The 12,586-nt window shown below is 35.0% G+C and overlaps 1 protein-coding gene across 3 annotated transcripts in view, besides 1 other annotated feature; it reads left to right on the forward strand.

Moving 5' to 3' along the window:
- Positions 1–12,586, forward strand: part of PTEN (phosphatase and tensin homolog) — a 108,306-nt gene that overhangs the window by 54,508 nt on the left and 41,212 nt on the right. For 2 of the 3 annotated variants that reach the window (NM_001304717.5, NM_000314.8), the window contains 1 exon segment: positions 7,381–7,425. In NM_001304717.5, the coding sequence (NP_001291646.4) occupies positions 7,381–7,425 (45 nt within the window). 3 annotated transcript variants of the gene reach the window in all.
- Positions 11,004–11,103: a silencer, noted in NCBI's record as "silent region_2587". NCBI's record gives its function as "represses an Ori minimal core promoter by ATAC-STARR-seq in GM12878 lymphoblastoid cells {active_cell/tissue: GM12878}" and the evidence as "EXISTENCE:reporter gene assay evidence [ECO:0000049][PMID:35858748]".

Raw genomic sequence — 12,586 nt, forward strand, 5'->3', positions numbered from 1 at the left:
CATGTGCCACCATGCCCGGCTAATTTTTGTATTTTTAGTAGATATGGGACTTCACCATGTTGGCCAGGCTGGTCTTGAACTCCTGACCTCTAGTGATCTGCCTGCTTTGGCCTCCCAAAGTGCTGGGATTACAGGCATGAGCCACTGCACCTGGCCTAATTTTTTTATTGTTCTTTTTGGTGTGAACATTCTCCCCTCCTCCAAGCCTTTTGTTTTTACTATTTTCATGTTCCTTTATATGTGCTGCTGTTTTGTTTCATCTGTAATTATCTCTCATCCCCTTTTTTGGCTATTATAATATATATATGTACGTTTTGAATCTGAGCTTTGAAGGTAAATTCACTGCAGCTGTGTTGGTTGATTTTAGATAATTTGTGTATTTCCTCCTTTGTCTTTTTTAAACTGGAGTCATTTGTAGTTGTTTATACAGAATTTTAGTTTTTAAAACCACAAGTCTTTCATTATAGGTTGAGTTATGAATTCATAGCCTGTTATTTAAATGAAGCTTTTGAAATCTGTTTTACTGATCTGTATCATATCTAACTACGCCAGTATTTCCTTCCTTGTCTGACGTGAACTCTAAAATTATGTGAACACTTTCTCCCTGTTTCCTGGCATTTCCACTCAAACTTGTTCCTCATTCTTAGTTAGAAATATATCCAGAATTGTAGTTTCTTTCTAATCTAATGACAGAAGCAAATTAATCAAGCATGGCAAGAATTTATTGGAAAACTGCATGTAGTTGAAAATATGTTTAGTATATATTTTGACAGCTGTGAAGTCTCTAATTTTTACTGTACCTTTTCTCTGTTCCAATTTTATGCTCTATTCTAAGGATGTACCCATTTCTACTACCTGACTAGGGAGCATGTGTATTGTATCCCAGCAGATTTTTTTTTTCATAGATAGATATCCTTTAGATATCTGTTATCCAGTGTAGGTAGCCACTAGCCACATGTAGCTATCATTATGTTTAAATGTAAATAAAATAAAATAAATTTACTGAGTTGTTTTTGCTAGCTACATTTCTTGTGCTCAGTAGCTACATGTGGCTTGTGATTACTGTATTAAGACAGCACAGATACAGAACATTTTCATTATTGCAAAAGTTCTGTTAGACAGTGCTGTTCTATACAGTGTCATTCTGCCTCTCATTCTAAAAAGTTCTAATTCCTGAAGTTGATGTACTCTTTCTGTTGCTGTCCTCTAGCTTAATCAAAATAAATTTGAGTCTTTTTAAAGGTAGGTTGCATTTTACATACTGATATTTCTAAATCAGAGGCTATTTATATTACTTTTTTTATATTACTTTTAAAAATTAGCTTTATTGGAGTATAATTTACATGCAATAAAATCTACCCATTTTAAATGTACGGTTCATTGACTTTTGAGAAATACACACACACACACACACACACACACACCTTCTTGTAAACACACACCTTCTTGTAAACACAACAACCAAGATTTAGAACACTCGCTTTATGAAAAGTTTCCCTCATGCCCATTTGTAGTCAGTCCCCAAACCTGGTTTCAGGCAATCTCTGATCTGCTTTCTATATGCTTTGCCTATACTAGGATTACATATAAATACAGTCATATAGCATGTATTCCTTTTTGTGTCTGGCTTCTTTCTTTTAGTATAATATTTTTGAAATTTATCCCTGTTGTTACTAGTATCAATAATTTGTTCTTTTTTATTGCTGACTAATATTACATTGTATGGATATGACATTTCTTTATTAGTGTGGTGGGCATTTGAGTTGTTTTCAGTTTGGGTCTGTTATGAACAAAGCTGCTGTAAGCATTCATGTGCAAGACTTTTGTGGACATATATTTTTGTTTCTGTTTATTCAATACCTTTGAGTAGAATTGTTGGGTCACATGATGTAGATCAGTTGAACAGAGTAGATTCCAGAAAAGTTCACATACACATTTCTTGACAAAGGTGCTGAGATTATTCATGGGAAAAGGATAATCTTTTAAACAAATAATACTGGAACAATAGAGAAAACAAAGTGAACCTTGACTTTTATGTCTTATCATATACAAAAATTAATTTGAAGTGGATTGTTGACCTAAATGTAAAAGTAAAATTTAAAAATATAAAACTTCTAGATGAAAACATAGGAGAAAATCTCTGTGACTTTTGGTTTAAAGATTTCTTAGACAGTACATATAAAATTAACTATATAAGGAAAAAATGGACAAATTTGACTTTATCAACATTAAAAATTTCTGCTCATTGAAAGACTCAAAATGAAAAGGCAAGCAGTTTTGGAGAAAATATTTGCAATACATATATCTGAAAAAGGACTTGAATGTATAATATATACATAAAGATGCTCTTACAACTTCATAATGAGAAAATAACCCCATAAAGAGAAGGGCAGGCCGGGTGCAGTGGCTCATGCCTATAATGCCAGCACTTTTGGAGGCTGAGGTGGGTGAATTGCTTGAGCCCAGGAGTTTGAGACCAGCCTGGGCAACATGGTGAAACCCAGTCTCTACAAAATAAAAAAATACAAGAAATTAGCTGGGCATGATGGCATGCACCTGTAGTCCTAGCTGTTTGGGAGGCTGAGGTGGGAGGATAGCTTGAGCCTGGGAGGCGGAGGCTGCAGTGAGCTGTGATCGCACCGCTGCACGCTTGCCTGAGCAACACAGTGAGATCCTGTCTCAAAACAAACAAACAAAAAAAAAAACAAAAAATGGAAACAGAAATTTTACAAAAGAAGATATATAGATGGCCAGTAGGCATATGAAAAGATGTTTAAAATCAGTCATCAGGGAAATGAAAATTTAAACGTAATGAGATAGCTCATATTTACTGGAATGGCTCAAAAAGGGCTTACAGGAATTGGCAAAGACATAGATTAACTGGAACTCTTATGCATGTTGGTTAGAGCACAAAATGATATGATTTCTTGGGAGAAATATTTGGCAGTTTTTAAGATTATTTTTGATAGCCTTCTGAATTTCTTAGTGAGTTATAGGTCAGTTCTGCCACTGTTTCTTTCTTTTCTTTCTTTCTTTCTTTCCTTCCTTCCCTTCCTTCCCTTCCTTGCCTGTCTTGCCTGCCTTCCTTGCCTTGCCTGCCTTGCCTTCCTTTCTTCCTTTCTTCCCTTTCTTTTCTTTCTTTTCTTTTTTTTTTTAAAGGAGTCTCGTTTTGTTGCCCAGGCTGGAGTGCAGTGGCACGATCTTGGCTCACTGCAACCTCCACCTCCCGGGTTCAAGCAATTCTCCCTGCCTCAGCTTCCCCAATAGCTGGGATTACAGGCGCGTTCCACCATACTTGGCTAATTTTTTTAATTTTGGCAGAGGCAGGGTTTCACTGTGTTGGCCAGGCTAGTCTCGAACACCTGACCTCAAGTGATCTGCCCGCCTTGGCCTCCCAGAGTACTGGGATTACAGGTGTGAGCCACTGCGCCTGGCCTGGCACTGTTTATTTCTTTTCCCTCCAGTTTTATACCTATTTAGAGAGATTAGATTTTCTTGAGTACTAGGAATCACTATTTTTGAGCAGAATTATTCAAAACTGTTATTATTTTTTCTTTAACTTGAGGCAATGTAGGAGAAAGCAGTACTGTGCAGGTGAAAGTTACAAACAAGAACATTTTAAACAAGATAGTTACTTTCCATGTATTGGATACGTAACAGAATTAATTCTAATAACCATCCTGAAGATGGTCAGGAGGCATTAGTTAAGAATTGAAATGTTTGGAGCTTGCCTGTGTTGATGGGATTAAGGCAGGGATGATTTATGTGTAAATTTATGCGTTAGTAACAGCAGTAACCGCTGTAGTTACACTAGGGTTCTAAGAGCAAATGTTGATTAAACATGAATGTAGCAGGAGTGATAAGGTTTGGCTCTGTGTCCCCACCCAAATCTCATGTGGAGTTGTGATCCTCAGTGTTGGAGGAGGGGCTTGGTAGGAGGTGATTGGATCATGGGAGTGGTTTGTAATGGTTTTAGCACTATCACCCTAGAGCTGTCTCGCGAAAGAGTTCTCCTGAGATCTGCTTGTATATAAGTGTGTAGCACCTCCCCTCTTTGCTCTCTCTCTTCCTCCTACTCCTGCCGCGGGGACGTGCTTGCTTTCCCTTGGCCTTCTGCCATGATTGTAAGTTTCCTGAGGCCTCTGATTAAACCTTTCTTCTTCTAAAAGATTACCCAGTCTCAGGTAGTTCTTTATAGCAGTGTGAGAATGGACTAATACAAGGGGAAATATATATGGTTACCAAATAGCGAATTAGCCATGGGAAAAAGTAGCAAATAAATAATTATTTTACTTTTTCAGATGCTAATTTTTCTTTTCGTTTATTTTAGGATTGGTGGGAGCTGTCCAATGTCCTTAGGCTGTTTTCCAAATGAGATACCAAAAGCTAGTTCTCCATCGGGTTTCTCAGGCTGCTAGAAGCATTCATTATTATGGTTGTCATTACTTCGAGTTCTGTTGCCGCTATGCCCACAGTAGTATTTGTTACATAACAGGTGCTTGATAAATATTTGCTAAATGAATTTTTGGAAAATACAATCTGCCACACCTTTCTTCTACAGTTTACAATCTTCTGTTGAGATCATCCGATAGATTTTTTTTCTTAGATATTGTACTTTTGAGGCCTCAAATTGCTGTCTTTTGTATTTTCTATGTCTGCAGAGACTTTCCATCTTTCACTCATTGTATTCATTGTTTTTTAACATCTTTGTACATATTTATAGTAACTGTTTTAAAGTCACTGTCTGTTAATTCAAACATCTGGTTCATCTTGGAGTCTGATTCTATTGCCTGCTCTTTTTTCTTTGTAATAGGTCATGTTTTTCTGCTTTGCCTGTCTAGTAAATTTTAATCGTATGTTGAAATGTAGGGAGTTTGGATTGTTACTTCCTTTAAGGGTGCTGAGTTTCATTTTGTCAGGCATTTAAATTGATAGTTGATTTAGTATTGTCAGGTTTGGTTCTCTTTGTTAAAGCAGGCATTTTTCAGATTTGTCTTTTGTCCTAGGGCATGGTTTTTAACTTCAAGGTTGCCCTTTCCAATGTCTCAGCTAAGTATCTGGGGTGTTCCATGAGGTCTCTTCCACTTTGCCTAGGCCAGAACTCCAGCTTCTCCCAGTATTATATTTCGTTACCTCTGGCGTCATCTCCGTTATGCTTTCAGATCCTGCGCATAGACAGCCCAGCCCCCAGCCAAGGACCTGAGATGAAATCCATACAAAATTCTTAGTCCCTTGCTCCACAAACTCCAACAGCCTTAGCAGTCTAATCTCTTCCTGTTTACCTCAGTGAAATCTGTGTTCCACTTGAGTTCCATTTCCTTCTGTATCAGAGAAGAGCCACCATGCTGAAAGCAAGGGGCACTATGTTTCTTTGTTCTTAAGGATGGTAGCCTATCTGCAACAACTGTAGTGTGATATAAAAATATATAATTTATGTTGCTGACAGTTACAAATACTGCTTGCAGTACTTTGTAACATAATTTTTCAGATTCAAGTTCATATACTCTTTTTTTCCACATCACCACACACATATTTTCAGACTTCCTCCTCATCCTTCTTCTTGCCAGTAGTTGTATTATAATTCCTGCCAGTAGTTACATTATAATTTTGGTTATATCAATATTGAGTTTTTATGGGATTATAACTAGATAAATGCCATTCATAGTTAAGTGATAGAGTATATTGTGACTTTTTTCCTGCATGTTTTATTTTTTCTGGACTTCACAGTTGTCTCTCTTTTTTTTAAAAAAATTAGTTTTCAATGTTCTTAGCTTTAATTCATAAACTCACCCCTAATTGTATAAATCTCTCAACATGTTTAAGCACATTTGGCATTATATCAATTTTATCTTTTCCAGGTGCCTTCTAATCTGTCCCAGTCTGGACTAATTGTTCTTCCTGGCTTGCTGTATGGCTGTCTACTCAAGATGTCCCTTCACCATCATTCTAGGGATTCCCTTTTCCTCTCTTGTGGGTTAGATTCTTCAGTTCTTGGAGACTGTCATCTTCTTTCATGGTTTCCCACTCTTGTTTTGGCGGAGCACATCTTTAGTAACTTCCTGACAAAGTGTATGGTTTGAGATTTCGCTGATTTTAAAATGCCCTTATTATATAGTCACACTTGATTTATAGTCTGTCTTGGTATAGAATTCTAGGCTGAGAAGAGTTTTCCCTCAAAATCAGAAGGTTTTGCCCAATTGTTTTTTAGCTGCTAGTATTGCTGTTAAAAAGGATAATGTCATTTTGATTCTAGATTCTTTTATGAAACCTGTTTCTTCTCTGGCAGCTTTTAGGATCTTCTGTTTCTTTGGTATTCAGAAATTTCATGAGATATGTGTGCTTCTATTTTGGTCTTATTTTCATCTGTTTTGCCAGGTACTCATGCAACTTTCCAGTTTGAAAACTCACATCCTTCACTTTTGAGTATTTTTCTTGAGTTATGTCTTCGGTTTCTTCTCAGTGTTCTCTGTTTCTGGAACTCCTAAAATATATTTAACATCCTGAACTCTTAGTTTTTGTTTAGTCTTCTGATTTTCATTTGTCTTTTTATTCTGTATATTCTGTTAATTCCTCGGCTTCATGGTCTTCTAGCCCTTCTTTTGCCTATCTTATGGGGTTGAGGATTAAACAGTTTATATACCTGAGGTGCTTAGGATATGTCTGTCATATAGTAAGTGCTTGTGTTAGCTGTAATTGTTGTTTACTTTCATAACTGTCTTGAGGGAAAGGTCTTTGGTCTTGATTCTTTGACTTCTTGGCTGTACATGACCTTGGACGAGTTATGTAATCTCTTTGAGACCTACCTCCCTCTTCTGTATAGTGTTAATAAGCTCTAGCTCTCAGATGTTTGTGAGGGTCGAATGGAGTATATATGTGAAAATGTTTAATACCTTTGTACAGAATTAATAGTTAGTACGTGGATCTTTCAAATATCAAAAGTTTTCAGTTTGATGGGAAAATGATGTCTGAATTTTCAGGGTTATTTTTAAGAGTACTTGATTATGACTGTCTTGTAAATCTCTATGAGCTAGGTATACTTGCACTAAATGCTAATGCTTTTTAAAGAAGTTATGTCTTAATATTCAGTCTCATTATGTTAGGTTGAAGATAGAAGATTATGAAAATATTCTCTGAAAAGCTCTGGTTTTACTTCAGATTGTATAAATCTGTGTAATGTAATAATTATTTAAGAATGACATGATTACTACTCTAAACCCATAGAAGGGGTATTTGTTGGATTATTTATTTTCACTTAAATGGTATTTGAGATTAGGAAAAAGAAAATCTGTCTTTTGGTTTTTCTTGATAGTATTAATGTAATTTCAAATGTTAGCTCATTTTTGTTAATGGTGGCTTTTTGTTTGTTTGTTTTGTTTTAAGGTTTTTGGATTCAAAGCATAAAAACCATTACAAGATATACAATCTGTAAGTATGTTTTCTTATTTGTATGCTTGCAAATATCTTCTAAAACAACTATTAAGTGAAAGTTATCTGCTTGTTAGAGTGAGGTAGAGTTAAAGATACATTTTAACAGAATTGTATTCCTAAACCGATTAAGTCAAGAAGTCCAAGAGCATTGTTAGATCATTTAGAAAGTGTAGTGATGAGGTAAAACATTGTTGGCACAGATTCATGTTACTTGATCTGCTTTAAATGACTTGGCATCTAGCCCATATTTGAGCCCATAACCGTGTGGTAATTTGAAGTGTAATTCACAGTAGAGCTTCTGTTAAAGCACTAATAGCATCTTCCATGGAGGTATACTTCAGAGTGAATATAATTTTGTTTATCCTGTGTCTCTAGAGCTATTGACTGAAAAAGCTGTTAGGGCATTCTCTAACTGTACATCACCTAAGTTATTTAAAATTGCTGAATTAGGTGGCTTGTCTTGTCTAGGACAGAGTTTTAAGGACTGCCCACCTGATTGATAGAGCTAGTTGACCTTATCTTTAACTTTTTGTTTTTCTTTTGACTTTGGGAGTAGAGATGTGAAAAGGTAAAAAGGAAGGAAGGAAGAGAAAACTTAACTCTTTTTGCCCATGAAGACTGTTTTTCCTTCTCAAAATATTGACTATTTTCTGATTTGTAAAAATCGGCACATAAAACGTGTTATTTTTTACTTGACTTTTATCTTTCCCATGTGATATCTATAAATTATAGATAGGAAAAATTTATCTGTAATTTAGTGATCTTTCTAGTGTGATAAAACGTCAGAAGTACTGAGAGTGGAGTGGACATTGATATTGTTACTCTCAGTAAGTTTTCACTGATTTTTCTCAGAGTCATGAAGGAACAAACGTTTGTTAAGTCCTTATCACTTATTAGATAACACAAAACATGTTGGGGGGGTGTGTACAGAGGTGAGTAAGATGTAGCTCCCATTCTCAAGTCGCTTACATTCTAATGTAAAAGGTAGACAAAGCATTACAGAAGAAGTAACTCTGCTATAGAAGGTTGCAATGAAGAGAACATTGGAAACACTAATTTTACCTTATAAAGAAGGTTTCATAAAGGAAGGCAAGTTTGAGCTGGGGTGAAAAGGACCAGTAAGGGTTGACTTTCAAGCCAAGGAGAGGAGGGGAAGTGATGTTACAGGCCAAAGGAATGGCATTGTAAGAAGCTTGTTGGCATAAAAGTGTTTAGAATATGGCAGCGAATTCATTATCATCAGATTGTGGTGTCTGTATGTTGGGGGTGGGAGAGAATTGTGGTGGCAATAGGCAACAAGATAAAAGAAAGTAAAAGGTGTTATGGAAACTTAATGGGTCCAGCTTACAAATGATCTATGCATTTAGGGGTCTTTCTCTTTTCCTGATAAACCTCTCCTACAAAGAGCCTTGTTGCGGATACCATAGTGTTTCTTTGGAGGAAAATAAAAACTACAAAGCTTTGTATTTTTTGCACAACTGGATTCAGAATATAAGTAATAAAAAAGGACAAGAACTTTCAAAAGCTAGAAGCCATTAAACTGAGTCACTTCAGGGTTAGACTATCAGAACTGGGGATTTAGAAAGTCTCAGAATGGAAATCGAAGGACACCAAAGACAAATTCGGCCTTTTTCAAAATTTTATTCTAGTTTAACATATTCAAAGAAAGGGAAGGAAATTCTTTTCATTCCTGTGTGTAGTGACTTCCTGCTTTAAGAACTTAGGACTTCAGCTGTACTATCAGTATTGTAGGTCACTTAACATTATTATGGTTAAAGTTGGCATTGGAGAGAGCCTAGGAACCTAACTGCCTGTTTGTTTTTATATTTCCAACCATTGGATTCCCAAGTTAATGAAGTCTGTTTATTAGTTGAGGGTAGCTCTTAATGCATATATTTTAATGCCCCTTCCCCACATGGAATCATAAGCTTTCAGAACTGGAGAGTACCTGAAAGAGATCATTTAGTCCAACCTTCTCATTTTACAGATGGGGAATCTGAGGCCTAGAGAAGTTAAGTGAGTTGAACAAGGTCACACAGGTACATATGGTAGCCGACCATCCACTGTTTATGCCAATATTCCCTTTACGTTTTGCTTTTTTGCTTGTTCGTTTTAACCTCTCCAAATTTTACTGACTTCAGAAGTTTCTAGAACTAAGTTATAGCATGTTTTGAGTTCTAATGTCACTTTCCGATCTTCTTTACCTTTTTTCTACCTCTGTTTGTATTTCTGGTTCTGGTTAAGTGAGTCTGGTAAGCAGCAGGTGTTCTATTTTATTTCTTTTATTTTTAGGATAGTATTACATGTGATATATATGTCTTTGCAAACATACATAATTTGAAGATCTTAAAATATTTGCACTAGGCATACCCACATTTAATAGTATGTTAAATCTTTTATAGCAATTATGATATACATGGGTGAAGAAGAGTTCCTAATATGGCCTTTCTGATTAACTGTATCTGTTTATATCTGTGTTTTCTTCAGGCATTCATAACATTAAGCAAATTCAGGTGTACTGTTACTTAATTGAATTAATCAGTTTGTTTTGTACAAGTATATTTTATTTTTGTTCCTTGTTGTATAATCTGGTAGGAATGGGGAAGGGGAGATAGTGAATAAAGAGATGTATACTTCTTGCCTTTGAGGAATTTAAGTTTTCACTGTATACCAATTTTTTAAAGGTATTTACTATATTTCAGTGCATATTTTATTTGACATACTTTATCATTTTGTGGTAAACCTTTAGCTTTACTAATTTTCATCTATTAAGTTTTCTTTTGTAAGATGGTGATAGCTTCATCAAAGAGAGTAAAGAAGAGACCTGCCTACCTAGCTGATTCTATGGCAAATCTCACTTCTCTGGAAGCTTTTCCTGTTAATCTTATTCCTTCAGTTTCTGCCTCTTGTTTCATAAAAACTCATTCTTTAAATGCTTATTCATTTCTCTTGTCTCATATAAACCAATATGAGGTACTGGTATCTTTTGAGTTTTAGTTATAAGGAAGCATAAATGGTTAAATTTAAATGGCTAAACCCCATTTGCCATTTGTGTATCTTTAATTTTAGTTTGTTGAGAGACTTATCACTACCAAACCACAAAGAATTTAAAAGAAACTGTCAGTAGGTATAGGTGGAAGGAGGGCATTTATCAGAGATTTTAATTTAAGAAGAAAGTCTTCATCCTTATCCTACCAACCCCCATTCCCTGAGCATATTTATCATTACTAGTCCCAGCATATTTGCTCCCATATTTCCTATGCTTACCTGTGAAGATTTTCATAACTTTTTCCTTGCTTTTTACTGTCACTGTTGGTTCTGTGATTTATGACAGATACTGCTCTTGTAGGAATGCTGGCTTTGACTGAAATTTGTTACTGCTTTTGTATTTAAAACTTTTTTTTTATTATAAGTAGAATTATGGAACAGTAGTAGAAAAAGTTTGACTTTTGTAATCAGAGATACTGAGCTTGAGTTCTGGCTCTTTCATTTGTATACTGTTATTTGGGGCAAGTTTTTTAATGCTCTTAAGTCTTAGCTTTCTCATATATAAAATGGAGATAATAACAGTTATCACGTGATTGTGAGGATGAAACAAAAAAAAGTGGAAACTCTTTGTAAGGTGTGTTCATCTGGTTGACACTTAGTAGTCATTACTTCCACTTTCCGTCCATATAGTCCTCTTAACAGTAATATTTGAGAGGCATTTTTATTAAAGCAGTCTTAAGGAGTGTTCGTCAAACCACATGTTCTGGGATCCTGAGAAAGTAGGGGAAGTTTAGAGAACTGAAGCTGCACAAAACTAATGTTTATTTTCTGTTGTGTTGTCCTGAGACCAGCTTCTTAGATTGTGTTTCCTAGTCCTACATCTCTGATTCCTTATAAAATATTCCATTATGAATTCTTCACTATTGACAATTTCTCCCCTTTTATCTTAAAAGTACCAAAGAAAGTGTAAAATGTGACTGTCTTGTCAGTCCTCTTTTTCCTGTTTTTCATGTCAGTGGGTATGAAATTACTAGCAAGGATGCATATATGTGCATATGTCATTACTAAATGCATTTTCTTTCTAGAAAAACTCAATATACTAAATTGTACTAAAAAGGAAAAGCTTGTTTTGTTTTGAGTGGTAGTATGAAAGTTGTTTTATTTTAGGTCTGACCAGTTAGAAACCAATGGATTGTAGTTTATTTATAATTAGTTAAACCTTCATGTGAATTTGGTTTTGAATTACCTTTAAGGTAGAGAAGAAACTATATAGATGTTTTTCAGGGTTTCTAAATGTACAATACAGGTTCACAATCACTTATTTGAAACTCTTGGGGCCAAGTATGTTTCCATTTTCAGAAATTTTAGTTTTCAAAAGGTAGCACAGATAAATATACTTTTACATAAACACCCCAGTGGGGTGTGGGTCAGTACCTGAAATGAAATGTTTTACTCTTCGCTCTAAGTGTATTAAATATTATGTACAATCTTATTACTTCAGATCAGGATTTGCTGTAGTTGAGTTTGCCATAAAACTTAAGAGAAAATTTTAGATGTTTTGAACTTTTGGGATATTGAAATTGCAGGTTAAGGAGCTATGGACCTTTATTTGTTTTAAAATGCTAAGAGTTTATTTTAAGTAATTTTTAAAAAATTTGTTTTGCATAGTAGTTGGAGTTACCAGGGTACTGCTAACCACACTGATATGTAAGATCTCTTTCTGAGCCTTTTATTGTTTGTAAACATGGCCTGTTAATCATTAGAAAGCCAGTACATACTAACATATCACTGCTATTAAGACAAATATTAGCATACTCTAGTAATGACAAGTCAGCATTTTACTATTCTGTATTGATTTTACTTATTCTTTCATTACTCTCATACTGTAATTAAAACTTGCAATCTGAGAGACTGTTGAAAAAGGTGATCGTTGGCTTTTCAACAGGGAGTAAGGTCTGGTTTAAAAAAAAATTAGTAAGCATTTGGCCAAGTAGATTAACAACATTCAGTTTTTCTTTACTGTCCTTATGCTTTTACTATTTTTAACATATATCTTTTTGAAGAATAGTTTGAGAATTATGTATGCTTAACTATGAGATACAGATACTATTGAAACTAGTCAGTTGTTTATAGGTACTTGTAAAATTAAAAATATATTCCAATAGCATGC

The sequence above is a fragment of the Homo sapiens genome, chromosome 10, assembly GCF_000001405.40.
Source record: "Homo sapiens chromosome 10, GRCh38.p14 Primary Assembly".
NCBI lineage: Eukaryota > Metazoa > Chordata > Mammalia > Primates > Hominidae > Homo > Homo sapiens.